We start from the raw sequence: 27520 nt of genomic DNA, 5'->3' as shown, positions 1-27520 counted from the left end.
TTTTTCAATAGCATTTGTGCATAACTGCTTTAATAAAATGAGCATACGGATTTTAAATTTTAAACATCTTAGATTTACATATGAAATACACATGTTTAAATTGGAGAGACTTCCATCTTTATTTTTTTTCTACTTACAAAAATAATGCAGGCTCTTTGTGAAAAATTTAAACATTACAGAAATATATAATGGAGACAGTGAAAGTCCATCATAATCTACTATCCCTCCCTGAGATAACCAATATTAACAAGTTTGGTATTTATAGCCTCATTTTTTAGTATGCATATACTAACATATATATATGTTTTAACAAAAATATAAATAATCATTAACATAAAAAAGTATTATACAATTTGCTTTTTTCCCCCATTCAAGATATCTTGTATACTCTTCCACATCAGTACATATAGATTAACCTCATTCTTTCTGGCAGGTACAAGGAATTTCATCTTATTGATGTACACCAATCCCCTACTCATAGGTACCTGGATAACTTCAAAATTTCACTCTTATGAATAACACCAAAAAATTCAATTAGATACACCTTCGTGCAGTATGAGTGTCTGCACAGAATAAGATGCCAGAATTATAACTGCTGAATCAAAAGGTATGAATATGCAAAATTTTCTAATAGATATTACCAAATTGTCCTCTAAGAAAGTTGGATTAATGTATGTTTTCACCAGTAGTGTAAGGGTATGATTGCACCTATATCTTCACATCTTCATGTATCTTTATTTTTTTAAGCAAAAAAAAATTTTTTAATAGATTATTTTACTCTGGTCACAACATTAGAAACTTAAATAACGGGTTATTTAATTAACACACGTCACATTTTCACTTGGCCTGTAAATTCTTAGACAAAAGGCTAATTCATTTCTCAAATTATTTGTCAATATAAATTAGACCCAAAAGAAAAAAAATTATTTCTACATCTAGAGAAGCTTTTGCTGTTAAAAAGCATGCTCATCACCCCGGTGGTTTCTAAACAGATAAAGAAAAAATTAGGACTCCCCTCTACTCCTGGAGTTCACTGGTTTGACATTTTAAAAAAATTCCCCCCAAAATCATAGTCATAGTCCTGAAATACATTACACACAAGTTAGTATCAAAAAGAATTTCTGCTAAGCCTTCCTTTTGGTCAGTATTATCGATACAAGTTAGAATATTGGCAAGAAAAAGGTACTGAAGATAGTTCACAATAAAAAGCCATGCAGAAAGGCTGATTAAAAATGTTGGAACAGAAGAGGCGAGCCTACAAAAAAGGACCTCTCACAAATGGAAACTTGAAGGAATAAAATCTTGCTAACAAATTAGAAGAAAATTCCTTGGTATTCTAGATATCTCAGACACTGATAGTATTAGCAACCCCTTATAGCTGTGAAGTTATTTAAAACTTACAATGTGTTTTCAAATTCATTAAATCTCATTTAAATCTCACAATGGCCCTGGGAGGGAGTCTAGACCTAGAACTCCTAGCCTCAAGCAATTCTCCCACGTCATGCCTCCTAAGTAGCTGGGACTACAGACATGCACAACCATGCCCAACTAATTTTTTTTTTTTTTTTTTTTTTTTTACAGATAGGGTTTCGCCATGTTGCCCAGGCTGGTCTTGAACTCTGGGACTCAAACGATCTGCTCGCCTTGGTCTCCCAAAGTCCCAGCTAATTTTTTTTTTTTTTTTTTTTTTGAGACGGAGTCTCGCTCTATTGCCAGGCTGGAGTGTAGTGGCGCCATCTCGGCTCACTGCAACCTCTGCCTTGTGGATTCAAGCAATTCTCCTCCCTCAGCCTCCCGAGTAGCTGGGACTACAGGTGTGCGCCACCACGCCCAGCTAATTTTTGTACTTTTAGTAGAGACGGGGTTTCAGCATGTTGGCCAGGATGGTCTAGATCTCTTGACCTTGTGATCCACCCGCCTCGGCCTCCCAAAGTGCTGGGATTACAGGTGTGAGCCACCACGCCCGGCCCAGCTAATTTTTTTAAAAAAGCTTTTAGAGATGGGATCTTGCTATGTTGCCCAGGCCAGTCTTGAACTCCTGGCCTCAAGTGATCCTCCCGCCTCAGCCTCCAGAGTAGCTGGGGTTACAGGCCCAAGCCACTGTGTCCAGCTCATATTAACTCTTGAGAAGCTCTTTTCACTAGCCAGTTCTAGGTTTGTCATGAGGCAGTATCTCAGTGACAGCTGCTGTACGGGCCTTACAAGAGAACCCAAAGCAGCCTGGAGAAAGAACATCATAAGCAGAAAGGACATGTTGAGAAAAGTCAGCAGCAGGTTATTATGTTATATGAAAACAATCATGGCATACAAAGATACTGTGCCCTCTCAAACAGAAGCCAACCAATGAATGTCAGGGTAATGGAGGTAGGCCTGCATGTTACAAGTTTAGTCCTGACAAGCAGCTGCTTGCTTTTCTCCAAAGCAGTAGCGTAGAGGTGCAAGAATCAGAGTTTCTTTTTTTTGAGACGGAGTTTTGCTCTGTCACCCAGGCTGGAGTGCAGTGGCGCGATCTCGGCTCACTGTAAGCTCTGCCTCCCGGGTTCACGCCATTCTCCTGCCTCAGCCTCCTGAGTAGCTGGGGCTACAGGCACCCGCGACCACGCCCAGCTGATTTTTTGTGTTTTTAGTAGAGACGGGGTTTCACCATGTTAGCCAGGATGGTCTTGATCTCCTGATCTCGTGATCCACCCGCCTCGGCCTCCCAAAGTGCTGGGATTATAGGCGTGAGGCCAAGAATCAGTTTCTGAGCATGCTCCCAGCTACGCGCCCACAACTGCAAACTGCCTATGGGCTGTTCTCCATCCAATCCATCTGGCTTGGGGCTCCCTCTGCTCAGGACAAACTGAGGGAGTACAGGGAAGCAGAGGCCTTTAGACCTCATACTTTTGCACCTATAATGTTATCACAATGCCTATTTGAGATAAGAAATAAAAAGAACAGACATTCGAGATTAGGCAAGACAAGGTACTTGCTCAAAGAACTTTGCAACCTGGAGCCAGCATGGCCACATGGAGTCAGGCAGGCAAGTGACCTCATTTCTGCTCATGTTCAAATTAACTCATCAACCAACTGTCATCATCCAGGTCAGCCTGGACATGGGACATTTTAAGTCCATTTTTTCCCAACTGGAAGAGGTATTTCCACCAGCTACTCTCCACAGCTTCAAAAACAAGGTCAGTTGTATGCTAACAAGAGATAACAAAACAGTGGAATTCAGAGGAAAACAGGGAGAGACCTGAAAGAGCACCTCAAGAGCATGAGCTACAAAATCAACCAGCCAACAAAGAGCACAACAGTTTGAAGCCCCATGATACCCACACACAAAAACAACCAAGGCATCCGTCGGTCTGCCCTTCACTCCCCAACCAATCCCAAGAGAGAAGCAGCAACCGCTTGTGGCTTCTGGTCATCTGGAACCACACAGCTGCACCCTGCCAACCTGACATTCACATACCCACAGAACCAAGGTTGCACAGTTTCTGACAAGAACAGGCAGCAGAAACAAAAGTTCAGGAAATCTGGAGCTGGAGGTGGGAAGAGGAGTAAGGATATAGATGGACAAGGGTTACTGAGTGATGGATCTAAAATAATAGTCTGAGAAATTCATTAAATTGACTTTTATAAGGAATGTTGGGGACAAAGTATTTTTTTTTTAAGGAACTGTCCCTTTTTTTTCCCCCTCTTTGGGAACTGTCCCTTTTTCTAAGCTGAGTGCATGATGTGCCCTTTGACTATGGCAATACTAGGCACACTTCTGCAGTCAGTGCCATGCTGTGCACATGAAGGCTCCCTGGGAGGAATGCAGAATAAAGATTAAGTGTGGGCCCTGGAGTTCAGAAAGCCTCTATTTGAATTCTTGCTTAGCCACTCACTGGCTATGTAACTACCAGCTACTCACCTGACCTCTCTTATCATTAGTTTTCTTAACTACAAAATGGGGTGGTAATAGTATTTATGGTAGACTTCTGTAAAACTTGAATAAGATAGTATATGTAAAATGCTTAGCACAGTGCCTAGTACATCCTCACCCACCCTGATGACAACATTCGCATCACGTCCCTCAGAAACTGCCAATACCTTACCATTGTTCTATTTTTTCACTTGGGCAGTGGTTACACGGGGAAATCATTTATCATTATTTATAATACAATATTATATTTGTACACTCTCTTAATGTCTGTTGTATTTCATAATTTTTTTTTTTTTTTTTTGAGACAGAGCCTCGCTATCTCCCAGGCTGGAGGGCAGTGGCGCGATCTCAGCTCACTGCAAGCTCCGCATCCCGAGTTCACACCATTCTCCTGCCTCAGCCTCGCGAGTAGCTGGGCCTACAGGCGCCCGCCACCACGCCCAGCTAATTTTTTTTTTTTTTTTTTTTGTATTTTTAGTAGAGACAGGGTTTCACCGTGTTAGCCAGGATGGTCTCGATCTCCTGACCTCATGATCCGCCCGCCTCGGCCTCCCAAAATGCTAGGATTACAGGCATGAGCCACTGCGCCCGGCCTGTATTTCATAATTTTTTAAAGTCTTGTTTTCTTAAGTGCTAGCATCTGTAACAGCATCAGCCAAACTTATGAAGAAAAGACCAGAAGAGCCACTAAAGGAAGATGGGTCTCAAAGGCTGATGAGAACTGTGATAAATAAGGAGCAACACTCAAATCCTGAACCACCAAATAAACTTTCTTCTCAGGATTTCTCCAAAAGAACATTTGACAAAGTGGAAAAAAAAAAATCAGCCATATGGTTTCACAAAGGGTTGTTCTAAGATCTTCAAGTAAATTAAAATCTCAATTATAAACAGAGGGGCAGACAGTTTTTGTTTGTTTTTAAGATGGGGTCTCACTCTGTTGCCCAGGCTGGAATACAGTGGTGCCATCATAGCTCACTGCAGCCTCAAACTCCTGGGCTCGAGCAATCATCCCGCCTCAGCCTCCTAAGATGCTGGGGCTATAGGTGTGCACCACCATGCCCGGCATAGCAGGGAAAGGAAAATATCTTTAGCTTCATTACAGTTTTAGGAGGAGAGATAAGGCATATAAACTTTAAAATCCCAGCAAGAAAAAAAAAAAAACAAAAAAACCCACAGCATTGTTTTACCAAATAGGGAAGCAACCAAAAAAAGCATTGCACACTTTTGGAGGCCGAGGCAGGCAGATCACTTGAGGTCAGGAGTTCGAGACCAGCCTGGCCAACATGTTGAAATCCTGTCTCTACTGAAAAAACAAAAAGTAGCCAGGCATGGTGGCACATGCCTGTAATCCCAGCTACTCGGGAGGCTGAGGCAAGAGAATCACTTGAACCCGGGAGGTGGAGGTTGCAGTGAGCTGAGATCACGCCACTGCACTTCAGCCTAGGTGACAGAGTGAGACTCTGTCTCAAAAAAGAAAAAAGGAAAAAAAAAAAAGCAAAAAAAAAGCATTGCAAACATTGTGACAAAATGAGAGGGGGGAATTTACTCCCTTGAAATCTAGGAGGAGCTATCCATACTGTAAACTCATTCTTCTGTTAAGTGTCCTTCAAAACCAGAGGAAAATAATGTGACCAATGAAGAAGCACTGGACCTGTTGCTATAACTGTTGAAAGGAAGGAAGGAAGGATTTGGAAAATCTGGACATTCAAAAATACCAACGCTAAAAATCCACACTACCCAGTCTGGCTGTCATACTCACTTTTATTTCTTGCCTTCCTCACCAACTTTTTTTTTTTTTTTTAAGGTAACAGAAGTTAAAGTAAAATCCACAAATGGGGTAATAAACACCCAAGAAGGTAGGCAGGTCTCATTCTATACCTCTACTGAGAATTGCTATGAAAAGGAAGCTGCCAGAAAACCTGGCTTTGTCCTGCATTAAACAATGGAGCCCAGAGGAGACGCTTAGCCTGGAGCAGTGGGAACATGAAGTATAATATAACAAATCCTTCTGAAAACACTGTAGCTTTATTTCTTTAACAACACTGCAGTCTGAACATGAAGTAAAACCAACGGATACTCTGAGGATGAGTGGGACAGACCATGTGCTCAGAGAAGCTTAGTTTGAATAAACATAGCCCCAATTTCAAACCTTGGACTGTTTTCTCCAAACAAAGGGTCAGTGATAACAGCATCAAGCCCAACTTCAGACTCAGAGGGTTGGTGGGGAGGTTACAGATGTCAGGCTGAAGCCTCATTTCTACCTGTTTTTTCATCAGTCAAGAAATGAAAATACACAGGTGACAAATGAAAGACATTCAAAATACCAGCAGGAAATAAGACATTGACTCAAATCCAAGAAGGGAACCTGCCCTAAATTGCAAACTGAAAGAGAGAAAAACTTGGAAAGCAGTAGTGCTCTTCCACTTTGAAATGAGTGAGGCCAAGTAGGTGAGAGGAGGTTTCGAAAGACAACTCCCAGCCTGAAGAGGCTGGGCTATTTTTAGACAGTAAATGAAGAGGTGTTGGGTCCAGGGAGAGAAGCATCCTCTCTCTCCAGTGAGAATCACTTTGAAGGCTGAGGGCAGCTGCAGGCACCGGAAGGAGGGATGAAATGGTGATCAAAGAAACAAAACTAGGAGAACATTGACATTTTTCATTGTATACCACCTGTTGTGAGGATCTCAAGACACTTCACAAGCCTTATTTCAAGAGACCTCAGAGACAGAAAATTCAACAAGAGCTTTGAAGGTCATTCACAAAGGCTGGTGAGGGGCATAGCTGCTGGCCACAGGGACATCCACTCTTAGTCATCTATTCTATGTGGAGAACTCAGAGCGTGTGTATTGAACACTAAGAAATGACTGGAGCCTGGCGCAGAGGCAAGCACCACTAGTCCCAGCTACTCAGAAAGGCAGGGGCTGGGCATGGTGGCTCATGCCTGTAATCCCAGCACTTTGGGAGGCTGTGGCAGGAGGAGCCCTTGAGGCCAGAAGTTTGAGACCAGCCTGAGCAACATCGTAAGACTCTGTCTCTACAAAAAACAAAAATAACTGGCCGGGCGTGGTGGCTCATACCTGTAATCCCAGCACTTTGGGAGGCTGAGGCAGGCAGATCACGAGGTCAGGAGTTTGAGACCAGCCTGACCAACATGGTGAAACACCGTTTCTACTAAAAATAAAAAAATTAGCCCGGCGTGGTGGCACGCGCCTGTAATCCCAGCTACTCAGGAGGCTGAGGCAGGAGAATCGCTTGAACCCGGGAGGCAGAGTTTGCAGTGAGCCGAGATCACGCCACTGTACTCCAGCCTGGGCAACAGAGCAAGACTCCGTCTCGAAAAAAATGAGTATGTTTCCCCAATACCAAATCATATATGCGTTCAAACACTGAGCAAAAGCTGAAATTAGAGTATTGCCACTTTTTCTCCTTCATGAAACCCACCCAACCAAACTCTTCTTAGAGTCACTTCTCAAAAGGCTCGAAGTACCACCACACAACTATACAGGAAAAAAACTTGGGGAAACAAATAGAGAAAGAAGAATTAGATTTACAATTAAAAAAACACAACTAGAAGAAAGTCATCTTACCCATTGTTTCCAGAAGGAATAATATAACCTAGATCAGATTAATGGCTCTTAAGGAGGAGGACGATCTCAATACCTCCTTCAGTTACTTTTTAAAAATCTAGCAACCCTCCAGCACAGACAATCCTTTTGTAACCCTAACTTAAATCTTGCCTGCTGGGCTTTGGTCCATTTCTATCCTTTGTCCTTGAAAACAAGCCCAGCTCCCTCCACATAAAAATCTTTCAGAAACTTTCAGAGGAGGAGGGTTAGCTATCAAGAACACATACATTTGCTTCTTAAGGAAAACACAGCCCAACTTAGAGATGAGAGGCAGGAAATGACAAGTCTACAGGATTTGAACTTGGGTATTTACTGATAACTTCAAGTCACACTTCACCAAGACTAAGCTGATTTAGCATAAAACTTTAAATCAGTCTTTTCCAATGTACTCCACTGAAGAGACTCCCCTCCCTCTGAAAAAGCTTAATAAAAATCTCAGCACTCATCTACTCTTTGATGTAACTTAAATCTCCACCTCCACTGGCTCTCTCACACCAGCTTTTAGCCATATTTTTAACTAGGTCTCCCCTGAATTAAGAACCCTTTACTGAGCACTGCTTTCTGCATACGTGGACTTCTTCTCTCTTATGTTCTTCACACCTAATTAGGCTGCATCTCTACTTCTTTGTCACCATTTTATTAATCGTAGTTTTGATCTCTCTTCTAAAGAGGTCATAAATTCCTCCTGATTATTTTATTCACCTGGATGTCCAAGTTTATCCCGCACTATATTTGACATCTTTAAATTAGTCTCATTTATTTTTTTTAGTACTTACTGCCTATCTTACACTGTCCTAAACGGTGTGATGTAAAGGAAATAAAGAGCATGACCCCGATCCTTAGGAAATGAAGACATACATAAAATAACAATAAGATATTGGTTTCAAGGTGGGGGACTAGTCACAGAAAGCCCTGTGGCTCTGATAAATACAGAATTGGACCTAAAAATAAGTGTACAATTTGGTGTAAAGGAGAAGGCTACTTTAGATAGAAAGAACAGTATAATTCAAAGCAGGAGGCCATCTGAAGTAAGAGCTGCATAAAAGCTTTCTGACATTTCCTTCTTTGCCCCCCAAAAGGGGCATGTACCTTTTTGTCTTCAAATTTTATTTGAGAATTAGCTATCCATGAATCACAAATTTCCTGTTATCATGATTACTCACAGCCACCACATGTTAGAGCAACTCACAGAGCTTAATACACTAGAGTAATCACAAGGCAGGCTTTTAGAATAATCTCAGGTAGAGACCTTTTACTAAGGAGTGTGGGGAGTCTGGCATCTCTAGGGTCCTGGGCGCACAAAGACAGCTACTCCTCTTGGGTGCTAAAGATATGCACCAGTCATTTTGCTGCCAGACCATTCAAGGGTCATTCAACTTCAGCTAAGTATTTCTTTCATACACAGCTTCAGGACAGACAAAGCCATCTAAAGCAGTCTGAAGCACTGAATTCCTATTTTAAACAGGGAATGGTAAATGGTCTTGCCAGGGATGCCCCTTTTCCACTGTTTTCCTGGAGAGCTCTTCTCCACCTGCCTTAGGACTCACAGTTCAAGCATCCCTTCCTCTGTGAAGCCTTTCCTTTTTTTTTTTTTTTTGAGACGGAGTCTTGCTCTGTTACCCAGGCTAGAGTGCACTGGCAGGATCTGAGCTCACTGCAACCTCAGCCTCCCGGGTTCAGGCGAGTCTCCTGCCTCAGCCTCCCGAGTAGCTGGGATTACAGACATGCACCACCACGCCCGGCTAATTTTTGTATTTTTAGTAGAGATGAGGTTTCACCATCTTGACCAGGCTGGTTTCGAACTCCTGACCTAGTGATCCATCCGCCTTGGCCTCCCAAAGTGCTGGGATTACAGGGGTGAGCCACCATGCCTGGCCTGTGAAGCCTTTCCTAATTCCTCTGAACTGACTTAGGTCGCCTCCCCTGTGCTTCCATTAACAACGTACACATACTTCTACAGCAGCACTTACCACACCGTGTTTTAATTGTTTACATGTCTGACTAGCCATAAGCTCTTTGATGGCAAGGGTAATGTTTTACCCATCACTGATTGCACACTTCATAGGCACTCAATAAACACTTGTTAAATGCATTAATAATGGATGATATTGGAAGTCTTAAAGAATGGCAACTATACTTTCTGGATTCCAGACCAAAATTACAGTAAGAATTAACAATGAAGGCTAAACTCTCATTATATGTTTCTACTACATATATCATTCCTGGCCAGAAAAAGAGGCCAAAGATTGGAGAAGATTGCTCTAACAGTGCTGGTCACTGCCAAGCTACCAGCCAAGAATAAGAGCACTTGCAGTATTAAGAATGAACAGAGTCATATCTAAGGCAATTTCTACATTTCAGGCTTCTTTGCCTGCCTCAGGAGAATAGAAACAATGATGAATAAGAGACCTTGGAAGGGTCACAATGTCCACCATCACAAAACCTTGTAGCAAACTGTGATTCAACACAACTTCTGCTGAAATATACAGGAAAGCTCTTCACCTTCTTACCAAATCTACTCAAAGTTCTGCTAAGGAACACAGGGCTGAACTAAGTCCTCCCAGAACCCTGCCATTTGTACAGTGGCATTCTAAATCATTCCTCATGGGATTTACTCATCACTGAAGAGATACAGGCAAAGCAATACAATGCTGTGGTCTCAAATGCCTCTCCCTGTAACAACCTTGTACCTCACAACCCTATTGGGTTTACAGGCTACTAATAAGACACAAAATCTGATCTGATCCTGTGGGAGTAAAGCCCTGGATTCCCTCAAGGGATTAAATAAATGTCGACTACTTCTGGATTCCCAAAGTTGTGGGGTTTATTTAGTTGAAAAAGCATAAGGACCAAAACACAGACAAGTGAAGCGATGGAAAGGAACTTTGCCTCTGAGGATCATCTGCAGCTGAGTGGGATGTGGCTCTTGGCATATAGTGAATGAGATAAGCAATGCTCAAGGGCCATCCAGAACTGTTTTGCTGACAGATATCTGGCTTCTTGCATGTTATTCCTAAGAAGCCAAAAGGCTCCAGTTAGCCTCTTGAAGAGACAAAAAAAATTTGTTTTCACCGTAGGCAAGAGCAATTACCAAGCCAGTAACTCTGACTAGGTGTTTTAGCATATTTCTTTCTGCCACTACAGTCTTACATAACCCCAGCTGTTACGTTAACACCTGCAGCTACATTAGTCACAGCTTAGCCCTTCACAAGGTATGTGTTCCTACTGTCCTCTCCCAAGAAGGGAAACTGAGTCATAGCATATCAACTGGCTTCCCAAGCACATGCTTAGTGTATAGTGAGGCCACAATTGAACCCAGGTGGTCTTCCTACTATTCACCTTTTCTCATGGATGAATCTCAGCATGCCCACCCCTGCTGCTCTTTTTCCTTCAACCTAAAACCAAATCATTGCCTGCAGAGATCATATGTGATCCTTTAGAGTCAACAAGGGCTTCTAGTTATCTTTCCCAAGAAACAGGAAGGTTAACGAGGAACATGGAGCAGGAGAGGGTGGGTTTGGAAAGAGGTGGATCCCAACAGGACTCACCTTGGAGCTGAGGTCCTCTCGTCGGTTTCCTGCCTTACTCCTGCGCAGTTTGATGGATGGAGATCTCAACAGATTCTTGATCCGGCTGGTAATGGTTGACCCTTCCACAGCCATTATGACGAGAAACCCTTTGGGACAGTCCCCGGCCCAGTCCTGGGTCTTGTCTCAACAGCGGCACTGTCTTCCCACTCCAGAGGGCTTCCCAGTATGCCCTCTCACTGACCTGAGATGGCAGAAGCCACCTTAGTATCACAGTGTCTTACCTTCTGCCTAGCGAAGTCTGCAGCTTTTACCTCTGGGTATTGCTCTCACCATTTCCCTCATCCCCACCTTCTAGCCCTGCACAGTTTCTTACAACGTCGGAAGGAAAGGCTCACGAAAAAGGGGGGGAAAATCCTAAGCCACGAAGAAATGCCAGGCCCACGCCCGCCAGAGGCGTTTAACTGGCGAGATGGATGGGATGGGCCCCAGTTGGTCTCGTGGACGATCTGGTTCCCGTTAATGCCCAACTGTTCCCATGGCAACTGTAGTGTCCAAGGGAGGAGGCCGCCGAGACCACCAGGGATTTCCGCAGGCCTGGACACCTGCGCTAGCGCCGGCGGGGACGCGGCGGGGCTCGCCGTAGCCCACAACTCGTTCTGCCACGGGAGCCTCCCTCCCCCACTCCCTATCCTCCAGAGCTCGCTCTCCGCCCTCCACAGCGGCTCTGGACCTTTATCTTTCACCCGCCTCTGAGGCCCCTGCTACTCGTCAGCGCCCCCGTTCGGGCCCAGCCTCACCAGCCTCGGCGAGCTAAGGCCACCCCGCTCACAGCGCCCTCGGGCATCGCGTTCGGCAATTTCAGCTCCGCCGCGGTAGCCGCAGCGGTAGAGGCAGCAGCAGGAGCTATGGTGGCACGATCGGCTCAAAACGCGAACTACCGCCTGGGCCAAGCCGCGGGCTGGGTGGGCGGAGCCGACGCGAGGGGCGCGGCCTGTAGTCAGGAGAGCGCTTCCAGAGTGGACGAGCAAGGTTTACGGGGGCGGAGCCAATGAAAGGGCCCAGGAAGCAGACGGCTTGGGACTAGGGAACCACGGAATCCGCACAATTGCGGGTACCGCTTTTAGAGGAAGGTCAACAGAACATGGCTTCAGAATTGAGAGAACCAAGCCTTTTATGGTATTATCAGGCCTGGTCCCCCATGGAACTGCACTTCCCAGAGCCCCAAGACGATAACCACGCCTCCAGGGTGTTAAGGTTGTCATCTGATAGGCCCGAGGGACCGTAGCTGAAACTCCTAGCTCAGAATTACAAGACTGAGCTACAGCCTAAAAGCTCTGCTCCCAGCGACCACAAGTGTTGAGATTTAAAGCGACTGAAGTAGTTTCTGCTCGCAGCCAGTCCGGCACGTAGACTCAACGTGGAAAGGATTATTCTGAGTAATGCAATTTAATAGCTAAGAACAGTATTTTTGCACTGGGCAACCTGGTCATCATGAAAGGGGAAAGGGTGGCCTTGAACAGAGCTTTGGGCGTGCGGGGGAAAGAGAAGTGAATATGCTATGTTATAATACTTTAGGTTTCATGGCTTCTTTAGCCTCCAACATCCCATTGTGCTTCCTCACCTAAAGCTGACCAGGACTTTGTTGCTCCAGATCTTTTCCTCATTCCATTTACTTATGAATCCTTTTATCTAGGGCTGTTCCTTGCTGAGGTCACTGTCGAGCTTGCTGATACTAGATCGAGGGGTAGTTTTCTAACTCATGTCGGGGGAGGCAGAGGGAATACACGGAAATGTTACATGAAATAGTATTTCCTGAGTATTCTCCACTTGACTACTACCACAAGAAATCACCTTATGAAAAAGCCTAAGCCAGAGACTTGGGTCCCAAGGGAATAGTACACTGGTGTGTCCGTCTCACCCTATCCAGATCTTTTGAATCCCTGTGGAGATGACATGTGTCTGCAAGAGGGAAGAACCTCTAACAAATTATTATACCTTATGAAAAAGCCTAAGCCAAAGACAAGGGACCCAAGGGAGTACTACACTGGTGTGTCTGTCTCACCCTATCCAGATCTTTTGAAACCCTGTGGAGATGACATGTGATAACAAGAGGGAAGAACCCCTAAACTCATTGCTTGTGTACAACGGTGAGCCTTTAGAGCCAAGTGGCAAAGCACATATTTTCTTGTGTATACTGTAGCCACGTACTGAAAATTAGATTTGTAAAGCTCACAAGTTGACATGGAGATGATGGATGTCACCTCCTGGAGACCAACTGGCAATAGCACGTGGCCTTCTTCCCTTCAACCATGCACTGCAAATATTATGAAACAGAAAATACGATTTTCAAATTTATTTCCCAAGTCTGGAAGAAGAAGGCAAGAACCATTAGCTACAATATGCAAGAGGTAGTTGGTTCCTTCAACCTCTTGGTAGTTACATGATGGGACCTCTCCATGGGATTGAAAGCTAATAAATGGTGCCACCTGGTGTCTTTACTTGCATGCTGCAGACCACGGCAGATGCCATCTCCACCCATGAAACTAGAGTAAAAATGTGCCCACAAGAGCCGTCCCTAATCCTCTCCAGATCATTCTGGTGTCCGCTAACGGTTTTCTCACCTGATCACTCATGGCCAGATAAATGGTTTACAAAGTATCACTGGTCATTTCTTTCATGAAAAACAACTGAAAGCATTTTAATGAGGATTTCTTAAGTCTGGAATCTGGGTACTTCCAGTCTTAGGCCAAAGCCACGCTTTTTTTTTTTTTTTTTTTTTTTTTTTAAACAGAGTCTTGCTCTGTCCCCAGACTGGACTGCAGTGGCGATCTCAGCTCACTGCAACCTCCGACTCCTGGTTTCAAGCCATTCTCTTGCCTCAGCCTCCCGAGTAGCTGGGATTACAGGCACGCGCCACCACACCCAGTTAATTTTTGTATTTTTAGTAAAGATGGGGTTTCACCATGTTGGCCAGGAGGTCTCGATCTCCTGACCTCGTGATCCGCCTGCCTTGGCCTCCCAAAGTGCCAGGATTACAGGCGTGAGCCACCATGCCCGGCCCACACATTTTTAATTCTTCACAATTCAGTCCAACTTTTATTGTCTAGGTACTACACTGCCTTTGAGATACCAATATAGGAATAAGCTATATAGGCTATTCCCATTCTTCATTAATTCCTCAGAAAATAACAGTCCCAGGTCTAATGTGAACAGAAGCATTATTCACTTTTCTCCACTCAGATTTACAGTCATGCACTGTATACATTTCAATGACCACATGATCCCATTAAATTATAATATCATATTTTTACCATACCTTTCCTATGTGTAGACACACAAACACCACGTGTTACAACTGCCTATGATATTCAGTGCAGTTAACATGCTGTACAGAGTTGTAGCCTAGGAGCAACACAGCCTAGGTGTGTGGTTAAGCAACACCATCTAGGTTTGTTTAAGTACAGTACACTCTATGATGTTTGCAGAACAAAACCACCCAAGGTGCATTTCTCAGAACGTATCCCCATCATTAAGTGACGCATGACTCTACTTGCCATCCCAATCCTCCAAAATGCAGTTAACTCTTCATAAGTATTTCATCATCCATACACTATTTAACACTTTATTCTACTTTTATATGTCCTAAACATCTATACATAGTGTTTGCCAGCTTCTGAAATTCTAGATGTCTGGGGAATAGACGTTATATAGTTGTCTGTTTAGCACTATACTCATTAGATCAAATTTTAAAATTCACCCTAGGCATAACATGCAAATAAGGTATAAGTTCCTGGGAAACAGTCTAAACATTTGCTCATCAATTCAAATATTTATTGAGCACCTTTACATGCAAAGGCACTGTGCAACAGCTGAGATCAATGATTGCAGTTGGAAACACAATGGATCTCAAAACCATGCTTCCAAGACTGCTTTCCTACTTAATATCTTTTCTACCAGCAGAGTTTACAACAATAGAAATTAGTAGAGTTTAGATTTGTCTCAAAATTTCCAACTCATCCCATAGTCTTCCCATCCTCTTAATGCACCACCATCACTATTCAACACTTATGTGTAGAACAGCTCAGTCATGTCTAACATTAGCTACACCTCAAACAAAAAGTTGTACTTATCAAATTATTTCCCTCTATTCCAAAAAATGCGTTATAACTGATTTTTTTCCTCCAACTGGCAGTGAGTCTGAATATCTCAGCTTTAATTTTCCCTGCACCTAGATATTTGTGTCCATGTAAAATTTCATTAGTAGGCCGGGCGCAGTGGCTCACGCCTGTAATCCCAGCACTTTGGGAGGCCGAGGCGGGCGGATCACAAGGTCAGGAGATTGAGACCATCCTGGCTAACATGGTGAAACCCTGTCTCTACAAAAAAATACAAAAAAATTAGCCGGGCACAGTGTCGGGCGCCTGTAGTCCCAGCTACTCCGGAGGCTGAGGCAGGACAATGGCGTAAACCCGGGAGGCAGAGCTTGCAGTGAGCCAAGACGGCACCACTGCACTCCAGCCTGGGCGACAGAGTGAGACTCTGCCTCAAAAAAAATAAAAATAAAAATTTCATTAGTGATAATACAGTGACATGAAGTACTGATGCCTTTACAGCACCTTCTTCAAAACCAACAGTTTTGTGCAAGAAATGTATTCTGATTCTTGGTTATCAGTCATTCTCTATAAAAGTACCTGGAAAATGTGCTGTGTATGGTTTGTTGTTGTTTAATTCTGGAGTGAGGGACAAGGGCTGTCACTATTTTCTAGACCCGTTTTTAAAGTGCATCACCCTATTTGATTTCAAATATCTCAACCAGTATAGTTAGAAAAAAAATTATCTAAACCACTAAACCAAAAATAACATATGGATTGTCTGCCTTTCTTGTGTGTTCAAAACATTTTCAAACTTGTTATAGAAGAGCCTAGCATCAGGTATTTCATCTGTAATTCCACGAAAAAACTATTGTATGTACTATAAAATCACACAAAGTGAACAATTTGTATGAAGCTTATATAACTGGACTTGATCTGTTAGTGACCTTAATAGATAGGAGTAGTTGGATGTCTAAAGGATTCCTTTAAACGTTTTTGTTAACTGTCAAACTCTTTAACATATCTTCCCTTAAGAACACCTACTGTCCTTTACCACTAAAAGACTGTGTTTGTGTACCTTTACTCCCCAAGGTTAACAGGTGAACTGCCTTGCTCATACTGACACCAGAATGATTTTAGAATGACTTCTAAAACAAATACTTGCCATCAGGTTGCACACAATTTTGAAGCCTCCATGTAAAACATGCTACAAGGATTAGAACATCGAAAACCTCCCCCAAATGGCATATCAGAAACTTAGAGAAAAGGAAAGGATTCCTATGATAAAACCACTTCAGTGGCACCTCTCTCAAATATGTCTTAGGGAATTAGAATTCTCCACTCCAAGTTGGCACAAACCTCCCAACACCAAGTTCTGCTTTAATTGTTTTAACTGCTTTATTTCAGGTTTATATATTCTACCTTTCAATCACCAAACTTCTGTTCTTAGATTTCTAAAAAAATAGTCACTTTTCGAAAGCAGAAAAGGAAAGATATATATATTTAATATATAAAAGAAAATGCTAAATCTGACATAATTATATTCTTAAAAACATTCCATTTATTTACAGATGTATAAAAAGGTGAATTATTGGTCTATTGAGATCATGCTTCTTATAGTGTTAGGGTGAGAGCTCACTGTCTTCCACGTTCCTCAACTCCTCTCACTCAACTTCACCTTTCATAATCACACATGTAATATTCATAGATCAGTTCCCCCTAGGGTAAGGTTAAAGGGTAGGAGTTTTTGGAGATTTTAGATTTCTGTCAAGACTGCAGGATTGTTCTGAAGACTAAGCCCTCCTCAAATTATCCCTGACAACACCTAGTTCTAAGAGGTCTTGAGAACACAGTATCTTGGGGGTTAGAATGGTATCTGCAGCCTTCCCCCTAAAACGCCTGGAATCATCCCTCATTTCCATCTTCGTACAACTCTCATCAAGAGTCAAATGGTATCTCCAATCAAGAATCATTACCTGTTTACCTATATTCTTCTTAAAAAAAAAAAAAAAAAAAAGGAAGTGTTAAGCTAAAATGGTCCTTCTTTTCCTGAGGATTGTTCACTCACTTGCCTGCTCCTTGGCTGACCCTCAAAAGCCACAAAGAGAGTCTTGGGAAATCAGGAGGAAATGTAGGGGAACGACAAGCAAGAAAATAACGGGAAACTGCTATACCTGGATTAAAGTACTAGCATCTCTAAGGACAATTATTAGCAGGGGAGACAGGTGCTGGACTCCTTGGCTAAGGCATTGAATGAAATCTGCTGGGTAAAGAGTGGAAGGATAAGAAGCTGAGGAGCACTCTTTACCTACTTCAGGCTTCTTTAGTAACCTTTAGAGGAGGGAAGGTTAAGTGCTGATGAGCAGATCTAGAAAGGCAAGCAGCACAAAACCAACAAGAATTTGCTCCCACTGCAATTTTCAGAAGTTCTTCCACCGTTTTCAATCTGTTGATTACCAGAGTTAACAGAAAGGGAACCAACCATGGAAATAATAATTCACTGGCTAGATCCAATCCAAAGTTGGTCTTACAACCTAGGTCTGAAGATATGCTGAGTGGGATTTGGGATAAAGAAGACAGGAGATATAGAAGAAATAGCATCACCTAGGCACGGCCCAGGCACTGGAAGCTCTTGTGTTAGTGTTTTAACAACACAAGCAAATCCTGTCAATGAAGACAGAACAGGGGTTACATTCCAAAATATAATTATTTAAGAAAGGCAAAATGCAGCAGCTAAATCCCAGTCTATACAGTTTCAGAATAGTGATTCTTGACCCCCTAGGAGTTTCCAAGAGACCCCTCAAGTGCACCATGATTATTTACAAACTAGATAGGAAACATCATTTCTATACTCAATACAAATCTCATCTTCTAGGTTGAAAACTTCAGCCTTTGAGAAATCTATGAAAACAACTATACAAAAATATAAATATCTTTACAGACTGTCAGTCCTTCATATCCTGACAGTTAATGAGTGAAAAAGCTCTACAGATCATTGGATCCATGGTTGCAGATAAAAAATATATCTTGTGATTCAAATACTGCCTTATTTCCCTGGTAAAGAGTGCCTACTGTGACTTTTCTTTACATCCTGTGCAGGTAATAGTGAATGAAACCTTCAAGCACCAGGAGGCTGGTTTGATTTGGGAAATTTCCAGCCCCATGATTTTTTATTTTGGCCACTGTCTCTGGTCTGGGGAGATAATGCATTTTATTTTAGCTGTCTCTTGAGTAACGTAATTTGTGGAAGGGGTAGGGCTCCCTCTATGCCTACCTCCAAAATATATACTCCCAGTAAAAATCTCTGGTACTGTGAAATGAGCTTTTCAATGCCCACAAAAATAATAAGGGAGAACTACTATTTTTTTAAGATCTCAAAATAATTAATAATAAAAGTTAAAAGCATCCCTACTTTACTGAAGGCTTGAATTTGTTAATTCTGATTGAAAAGGTGAGGGAATGGGAGCTACTTAGGATATGAAAAAAGAAAATTTTACTGAATGACACAAAGTCCTTCACTTTGGTATTCCATGGTACCCATCCTCTCTCTCCCTATTCTTGAAACATCAACTAAAAAGTGTCTCTTCTGGATCCCTTTGCACAAGTCCATCGCATTCCTTAGATTTTGGACTTAATTCAACAGCTACAAGCTACAGTTCAGTCTACAGCAACTCCAAAGTTGCAAACAGCTCTTTCGCTTGTGGGGGAAGAACTAGAAACCACTGTGGAGCCAGAGTCATGTTATAAATTCCTTGGGTAAGAGGGGCACCTCATGTTCAGTAATGGATCACATCTTCTTAGAGAGGATGAGGGGACCCAGCACCACAAGTGAGGTAACACATTTTAACATGATCAGAATTTCAGAGTACTTCTTATACCAGGGTCAGCACCCTACCCCCTTTCTCCCATCATTATCCACTGCATCATTGAAGTCAAGGATCCAAGTTCTAAGACACAAACAAACAGATGCCTGCAGAGAAAGGAGGTGAGATCTATTTCCCCTCACAGCCTGGCTTCTGCTTAAGGACAAGTAAGTTCATTTCCCTGCAGAACTTGGTGAGGCCCCCGAGTTGCCCAATTTAGCCACAACAGGTGCCAATGTAGGCATCACCTTGCTTTCCCGGCCTTCCTGGTCATTCCCTGTTAAGTTCATTTTGTGTCCAACTGACCCAACTTTGGCAGCTATAGGTGCCAAACAAGGCATCACCTTGAGACTCTGACCATCTGCATCACTGGAAGGATTAGCTACTTTTAAACCTAGAGGGGCCAACTTTGGCATAGGCCTCCACAAAGTGTCTGTGCTGTTGCTGTTCTCCAAGCCAGTCTTCATGTGTAGGGTGGGGGGTGAGGACACACTTTCGGGCTCTGCAGGGAGGCCAGAAGTATTCTTCCCTCCATCAATAGCTTTCTTGTTGGAAAGGAGGGAATCCTTTATTTCAGAGTCAATAACAATCTTAAGGACATCTGGCTCAGAGGCTGGTTCTGCAAGTTGTTTTTCATTCTCAGAAAAGTCATCGTCTTCCAAGTGCAAGAGGAGGGGACTGATAGAGTCACTCTCCCCTTGAACATCAGGCAACTCTTTCAAACCAGTTCCCAAGTGCTCAACCTGGAAAGTTGCTCTGCTTCCAGGAGGAACCTTACTAATAAAAGCCCGCCGAGCATCCCCTGGGAACTCTGTATCCATAGAGCTGGGTAGTTCAGCCAGGCCAACAGAGTCATCATTTAGTTGTTGATTAAGAAAGGCAATTTCATTGAGCAGTGAAGTCAGTGTCTCATCAGTATCATCCTCATCTTCCATGTTAGTCAGCAGTTCACTGGAATCAAGAGCTGCTTCCTCTATAGCTGATGTTACTTTCCTCAGTTCCATCTCTATGCTTGAGTCCTTGAGATCTTTCATCTTTAATTTATGAAATGAAGAATCCTTTGACTTCACTCTCTCCCCTCTTGATTCACTCTCTTTCCATTTATACTGAATCCCTCTCATATCACCAGAAATCTTTTTAGGTAAGAACTCTTGTGCTTTCTGCATATTGGAAACGTCAACTATTTGTGGATAACCAGAATCTTTGTTTGCCAGAAAAACCTGCGTTGGACCCAACGTCACTCTGCCATCTCTGTTTCCTCTGGAAGAGATTCTACCCTTATCCTCTAAGGAATTATCTTCATTCCTGACGGTGTCTTTCAGATGGTCAGATGGCTTGCTATCAGGAACTTCATGAGGATATTTGCTGCCACCCATATCTACCAAACCTCCCTCTGTGGCCAATGATGTCACATTAACAATTCGTGGCATCATAAATAAGTCGTCATTTTCTGAAAAACAAAAATTAAAAAAAGAAAAATTCATTTAGATCTAGTGTTAACACCTCTCTTTCTCTCTGTCATATCATATAACCATCTTAGGGATTTGTAGTCTAAATTCAGCACTCTACTTTTATCAAAAAGATGAAAGAAATATCAGTTCTTCAAATTATTGACCTAACCCAACAAGAAAAATCTCAACTAAAATCCAACCAAAAGGCTCTTTCCACCATTTTTTAAAGTTCCATTTAATTATTTTATAGAAATGCTCCCCAAGTTAATTCTTCTCCTAAGGCAGAAATGCATCTTGATTCTGTTCACCTAATTAACTGCTACTTAGCGCAGAAAATGAAGCCCTAAAGGCAGCATGGGAACCAGGAAAGATGAGTCCTCCAGAGTGAGTTTGGCAACAGGTAGAGACAAGGAATTTTGGCTGGCAATGGCAATAAAGTAACCAGGATCCTAATATTACTAAAGAGACCCTTTCATCTTAATAGAAATTTAGTTGCCTGGAACCTAATCACCCAAGTGAGGCTTCTCTTTCAACTTTACCCTTTGCCCCAAAACAGAGTAGTGCTCAAAGTGAATGGGGCTAATAATGCAGGACTGTTATCATCTCTGAGTACCACAAAAAGTGACAAATATTTATCAACACCAAGACCTAAGACCATGATCATTTAACATCTTCCTTTCCCTCTGATATCTTTTTTATTCTTCCTCTTAGAAATTACTAGTGTTCACAAAATGGTTCCCAATACCAGGTGTAAAACACACCAAACAGTACCACAGCTCAAGCCAAATGTGTTCTAAAAATAGGGCCACCTCTTACCAAGGCAAATGCCAACAGAATAGCTCTTTATCATTACAGAACACATCCAAAGCCTTCCTTGGTCACCGTGAGATGTTAGGGATAACTTTATCACTTCCCATAGAGGACAACACTTACAACATACCTGGTAGAGCCACAGCACTACCGGCAACTTGAGGCTTAAGATCAGATTCTAAGAGATCAGGAGAAACAGCTACCACTGGTCCTGAGAATAGGGGACCTTTTAGGGTGAGCAATTGCCCTTGCGGAGTCATCACAAGGTTGGCAGAGGTGTGTGGAGTGTTCAAGGGTGAGGTATTTTCTGTAAGAAAGATCAGAAATTAGTTATAGATAAAAGGCATTCAGCTGGGTGTGGTGGCTCATGCCTGTAATCCCAGCACTTTGGGAGGCTGAGGCAGGCAGATCACTTGAGCCCAGGAGTTCAAGACCAGCCTGGGAAACATGGTGAGACCCCATCTCCATCTCTACAAGAAAAATTTTTTTAAATTAGGCGGGTGTGGTGGTGTGCACCTGTGGTCCCAGCTACTAGGAAGGCTGAGGTGGGAGAATTGCTTAAGCCCAGGAGGTCAAGGCTGCAAGCGAGACACTGCACTCCAGCCTGAGCTACAGAGTGAGGCCCTTCTCAAAACAAAACAGCCAAGTGCGGTGGCTGACGCCTGTAATCCCAGCACTTTGGGAAGCCGAGGCAGGTGGATCACGAGGTCAGGAGATCAAGACCATCCTGGCTAACACGGTGAAACCCCATCTCTACTAAAAATACAAAAAATTAGCCAGGCGTGGTGGCGGGCGCCTGTAGTCCCAGCTACACGGCAGGCTGAGGCAGAAGAATGGCGTGAACCTGGGAGGCGGAGCTGGCAGTGAGCCTAGATTGCGCCACCGCACTCTACCCTGGGCAACAGAGCGAGACTCCGTCTCAAAAAAAAAAAAAAAAAAATACCCACACCAGATTTTTTTTGGCTCATACACTGGGCTATCCAAACATTTAAAGAGTAAAAAAGAATATACCATTTTTTTTTTTAATTTTTTTTGAGATGGAGTCTCACTCTGTCACACAGGCTAGAGCACAGTGGTGTGATTTCAGCTCACTGCAGCCTCCGCCACCCGGGTTCAAGTGATTCTCCTGCCTCAGCCTCCCAAGTAGCTGGGACTACAGGTGTGCACCACCACATCCGGCTAATTTTGGTATTTTTAGTAGAGACAGGGTTTCACCATGTTGCCCAAGGCTGGTCTCAAATTCCTGAGTGCAAGCAATCCTCCTGCCTCTGCCTCCCTAAGGGGTGGGATTACAGGCATGAGCCACTGCGCCCAGCCAGATATACCATTCTCTAAGAATATAAGTAACACATAAAATCAATATAACTTTACTTCCAAAATCAAGATGGTAATAAGAAGTTAAGACTAATTTACTTTGGGGTTTTTGTTTTGTTTTGTTTTGTTTTGTTTCAGACAGAGTTTCGTGCTTGTTGCCCAGGCTGGAATGCAATGGTGTGATCTCAGCTCACCACAACTTCCACCTTCCGGGTTAAAGTGATTCTCCTGCCTCAGCCTCCTAAATAGCTGAGATTACAGGCATGAGCCACCACACCTGGCTAATTTTGTATTTTTAGTAGAGACAGGGTTTCTCCATGTTAGTCAGGCTAGTCTCAAACTCCCAACCTCAGGTGATCTGCCCGCCTCAGCCTCCCAAAGTTCTGGGATTACAGGCGTGAGCCACCGCATCCGGCCTACTGTTTCTTAATAGTAATGTATTAATAAGTAAGTGATCTGATGAAAAATAGAGCCTGATGGCCAGGCGCAGTGGCTCACGCCTGTAATCCCAGCACTTTGGGAGGCCGAGGTGGGCGGATCACGAGGTCAGGAGATCGAGACCATCCTGGCTAACACGGTGAAACCCCGTCTCTACTAAAAATACAAAAAAAATTAGCCGGGTGTAGTGGCAGGCGCCTATAGTCCTAGCTACTGGGGAGGCTGAGGCAGGAGAATGGCATGAACCCAGGAGGTGGAGCTTGCAGTGAGCCAAGATCGCGCCACTGCACTCCAGCCCGGGCAACAGAGCAAGACTCTGTCTCAAAAAAAAAAAAAAAAAAAAAAAAAGGAAGAAAGAAAAATAGAGCCTGATTTGACAAAATTAAATTTTACAAAAAATTTCCCATTTATTGGTCTCAGCTAGACCCAACTTCTTAAACCCATCAGTAGAACTGCAGGGAAATCACGAAGTCAAGTATAAGTCTGAAAAGATAAGTTTAAAAAACTACTCATTAAAAATACATGACTATAGACTAATATGCTACCAGGACTGGTAACTTCTCAGGATTTGCATGAGTGTGTATTACAACCAGAAACCAAAATCGAATGTAGTTAATATTCTACTTTTTATACAACCCATCTTTAATTCATTTAATTAAAACTAAAACTGTGGGCTGGGTGTGGTTGCTCACACCTGTAATCCCAGCACTTTGGGAGGCCAAGGCGGGTGGATCACTTGAGGTCAAGAGTTTGAGACTAGCCTGGCCAACAGGGCAAAATCCCATCTCTACTAAAAAATTAAAAAAACAAATTGGGCATGGTGGTGCTCGCTGTAGTCCCAGCTACTCAGGAGGCTGAAGCAGATAATCGCTTGAACCTGGGAGGTGGAGGTTGCAATGAGCTGAGATCACATCACTGCAACTGCAGCCTGGGCGACAGAGCTGTCTCCAAAAAAAAAAAAAAAAAAAAAAAAAAAAAACCACACAAAACTAAAAATGTGGACAAGAGAAGGTGGTCAGTCCACTAAAGTCAACTGATGTATATCTACATTAAGGAAAGCGAAGAATGTCCCTCCTACCTGTGGCCTGGTCTTTTTTTCTGGAAAGAATCAAAGGTTTCCCCCTCCTGTTATTTATAAACATCTGTCCAAGATCTACAGATGATGCAGAAGATCCTTCCTGCTGTTTGCTAATTCTGGGAGATATGTCAAACTCATCTGATCCCATCTTCTTTTTTCTTTTTTGTGCCTCTAGTGCTTGCTGTTTTGCATAAATATACTCTAGCTTCTTCAGGACCACTTCTTCTGTCTTACCTGTAAGTTAACAGAATACATTAGCACTTTCAGCATTACGCCACATAATGAGAAACAGAGTCAACAGAAATCTAGTTGCTTTAACTATATTCCCAAAAACTATGGAAAGTAAGGTGATTACAATTCACAAGAAACAACCCACCACCCAGTCAAAGGATAACTGTGCTGTAAACTGTGGGAGCCAAGCTTTCAATTAAGTATCTGAAAGATCTACTGAGGATTTCTTCTTGATAAAGCTATAATTATGCTCTTTACCAGAGATTATTTACTTATCTCACCTGAAAGAGACGATACTTTCCGTATCAGAATATTCCGTTTTCGAGTCAGGAGATTTTTCTGTCCTATCAATTTGTCTGCCTGATCTGTTAGTCCCTGAATTTCACTGAAGGCCTAGAATACAAATAGTGGTATTATTGAAAATTGATCCACTCTTTCTTTAAACACAGCTAAGGCCTATACAATTTCTCTAATGAAAAAAAACTTAATCTGACATCTTAAGAGAATTTTTAAATTCCATTAACAATTGTTGATGTTTCAGAAATTATTTTTTGTTAAACTGTAAGAGGATTTCTGGCTTACACTTTTAAGGAATGTGACCATGATTATTTCCAAAGAGCATCACTGAATGGTAGTAGGTATTCCACCACTGCGAGGAGATACAAAACACCTGTGCTCTGCTTAGATTTTAATAATCAACTTTAAGATCAACTCCTAGTCTAACCAAAATCTGGTTGAAATAACTGCTCTAGAGGGATATGAATGCTTATCCTGTACTCCTCCACCTTCTACTTAAAAACTGTTTAAACGAAATTACTTTAGATATTCTACATGCAAAATTAAAACTTCTGCTCCCTTGAATATTTCAGGTTTTCTTTTAAAATGACTGTCAACTGTTAAGCATATTAAAATATCACTTATGCTGTGCTTTATGCTGTGATAACCTGTACTAAGTGCTATCAAGAACACCAATGTAACGAGAATGTGGTCAACATGGCTAACCAGAGTTTCTGACTCTATCTGAAGAAAGGATAGCTGTGCCAATAAAGAACCTGACTTTTGCCCGGGTGCAGTGGCTCATGCCAGTAATCCCAGCACTTTGGGAGGCTGAGGTGGGCGGATCACTGGAGGTCGGGAGTTCAAGACTAGCCTGACCAACATAGAGAAACCCCGTCTCTACTAAAAATACAAAATACAAAATTACTACTAATCTACTAAAAATACAAAATTAGCCAGGTGTGGTGGCGCAAGCCTGAAATCCCAACTACTCAGGAGGCTGAGGCAAGAGAATCGCTTGAACCCATGAGGCAAAGGTTGCGGTGAGCCAAGATCGTGCCATTGTACTCCAGCCTGGGCAACAAGAGCAAAACTCCGTCTCAAAAGAAAAAAAAAAAAATCTGACTTTCAATGAAAACCTACTGTGACTTAGCATAATGATTTTCCCCCTAAGGGATTTACTGGGCATTCACTAGTCCATATTCATCTGTTACATTTAAGCAGCTCTATTTCAATCTCCCTTATATGTCAGTGGATTATCTTTCTCATATCATCGGTAAGAATCTCTTAGTCAAGCTCTTACTGTCATTTACACAGAACACTTACTCGAGTAAGAATGAGACTTTTGGAAACCTTGGAAGAATGAAGTAATCCCAATGTGATCTTTAATTTCTCAAAGAGATCCCTCATTTCACCACGCCGCCGCCGCTCATTGGCAGTGTGTGTCCGGCGATAATAAGCAAACGCTTCTGCTTCTTTCTGTAGTTTGTCACTCCAGTAATCAGGCTTCAGTTTTAGAGGAATTGGTGGAGCCTGTCCAAACAAGATTGCCTCCTAAACATCTTGAACATGTAGTTGGCCCTCTTACTCTGTTTCAAATGACACTGCCCTATTTCAGGCACTCATTACCTTTTGTCTGGACTGTTGTAACAGCCTCTCAATTGGTCATCTTACTACCAGTCTATCCTTCCTTCAAATCTAACTCTTACAATGCCAACAGTGTAATTTCTAATACATGCTAAAGTGATCTTACCAGCTCTCAGTTCAAATTTCAGTGATTTTCAAATGAGGAAGAAATTGTATATGTTACAGGCGTACGAGATCTGAAAGAGCTTAAGTAATTTATTGTATTACTAAAACTTGTTTTCATGATACAAATTACATTAAATGTTTTTCAAAAAATACTGTAAGATCCTCCTCAATCTGGTAAAAAATCAACTGCCACTCTTCTAAATCACCTTTCTCTCCAACCATTCCTATCTGCTAGAAATTCCCAAAATATACTACACAATCCCACACCTCCCTGACATTACACAGGCTTTTTACCTGTACCTAGATTACTTATCCCACCTCTTACCTAAACCCCCATAACATTTAAAACTTAACATTTAAAACTTAACACTTAAAACTCAAACTCTGCACTTTTTCAGGAAAGTCCTTCTTGATCCCCAGAAAGGCTTAAAGCCTCCTTTCTCTATCTTATTTATTCTATTACAATCTTTGCATATAGGACTTAAAATATATGAAAAGGCTGGCCAGGCACAGTGGCTCACACCTGTAATTTCCAGCACTTTTGGACGCCAAGGTAGGGGATCACTTGAAGCCAGGAGTTTGAGACTAACACAGGCAACACAGTAAGACTTCATCTTTACAAAAAAAAAAAAAAAAAAATACACACACACACACACACACACACATATTAAGAAGCTTATAATGAAAAGCAACTGTGCCCTGAACTTGTACCTGGATCCTCAGAAACAATCACTTTTTAATTCTTTTAGCAGCTTCTTCTAGTTCTTAAATCTATATCCTAAACCAAAAATAGTAACATAAGCTTATTTTTTTCCATTTTCAATGCTATCTATTGACTTCTTGCTATGCAGAAGAGGATTTAGCTCACATCACTCTTATGTCTTACCATCTTATCATCCCAATATAGTTACATCACTACTTTTAGCTGTTCTACTGATCCCTTAGCAACTTGAATTCTACCTTAATTTCTTATTTCATCAACAATAAACAATCTATCTTGCCTTTCTACTTTGTAAAATGAGGGTATCAGCACCTGTATCCTTCCCTTTATTTCTTCTTCCCTCTCTCACCTCCCAATTTGTCATTTGTATTCTCACATTTTCAAGACTGAAATTAAGTCTTCTATATTTTAATCACAGGTTATAAACGTTAA

At 42.3% G+C, this 27520-nt stretch overlaps 2 protein-coding genes across 51 annotated transcripts in view, besides 1 other annotated feature; both read right to left on the bottom strand.

Moving 5' to 3' along the window:
- MAPKBP1 (mitogen-activated protein kinase binding protein 1) overlaps positions 1–11987 on the bottom strand; it is a 53372-nt gene extending 41385 nt beyond the window's left edge. For all 5 annotated transcript variants that reach the window (NR_049761.2, NR_049762.2, NM_001128608.2 and 2 more), the window contains exons 1-2: positions 11861–11987; positions 11082–11304 (exon numbers count right to left, since the gene is read on the bottom strand). Coding sequence is in view for 3 of the 5 variants with exons in the window: in NM_001128608.2 (NP_001122080.1) it covers positions 11082–11195 (114 nt within the window). In the remaining 2 variants the exon portion in view is untranslated. The remainder of the gene's footprint in view (positions 1–11081; positions 11305–11860) is intronic.
- Positions 12491–12540: an enhancer, noted in NCBI's record as "active region_9285". NCBI's record gives its function as "activates an Ori minimal core promoter by ATAC-STARR-seq in GM12878 lymphoblastoid cells {active_cell/tissue: GM12878}" and the evidence as "EXISTENCE:reporter gene assay evidence [ECO:0000049][PMID:35858748]".
- The window catches only part of MGA (MAX dimerization protein MGA), a 148717-nt gene continuing 137727 nt past the window's right edge, over positions 16531–27520 (bottom strand). For all 46 annotated transcript variants that reach the window (XM_017022029.3, XM_047432300.1, XM_047432302.1 and 43 more), the window contains 5 exons: positions 25942–26148; positions 24621–24732; positions 24109–24342; positions 21409–21585; positions 16531–20467 (listed from right to left, as the gene is read on the bottom strand). In XM_017022029.3, coding sequence (XP_016877518.1) covers positions 19191–20467; positions 21409–21585; positions 24109–24342; positions 24621–24732; positions 25942–26148 — 2007 coding nt within the window. In that variant the 3' untranslated portion in view covers positions 16531–19190. The remainder of the gene's footprint in view (positions 20468–21408; positions 21586–24108; positions 24343–24620; positions 24733–25941; positions 26149–27520) is intronic.

The sequence above is a fragment of the Homo sapiens genome, chromosome 15 (assembly GCF_000001405.40).
Source record: "Homo sapiens chromosome 15, GRCh38.p14 Primary Assembly".
In the NCBI taxonomy this organism is placed as follows: Eukaryota; Metazoa; Chordata; class Mammalia; order Primates; family Hominidae; genus Homo; species Homo sapiens.
This window is presented reverse-complemented; position numbering and strand designations above follow the sequence as displayed.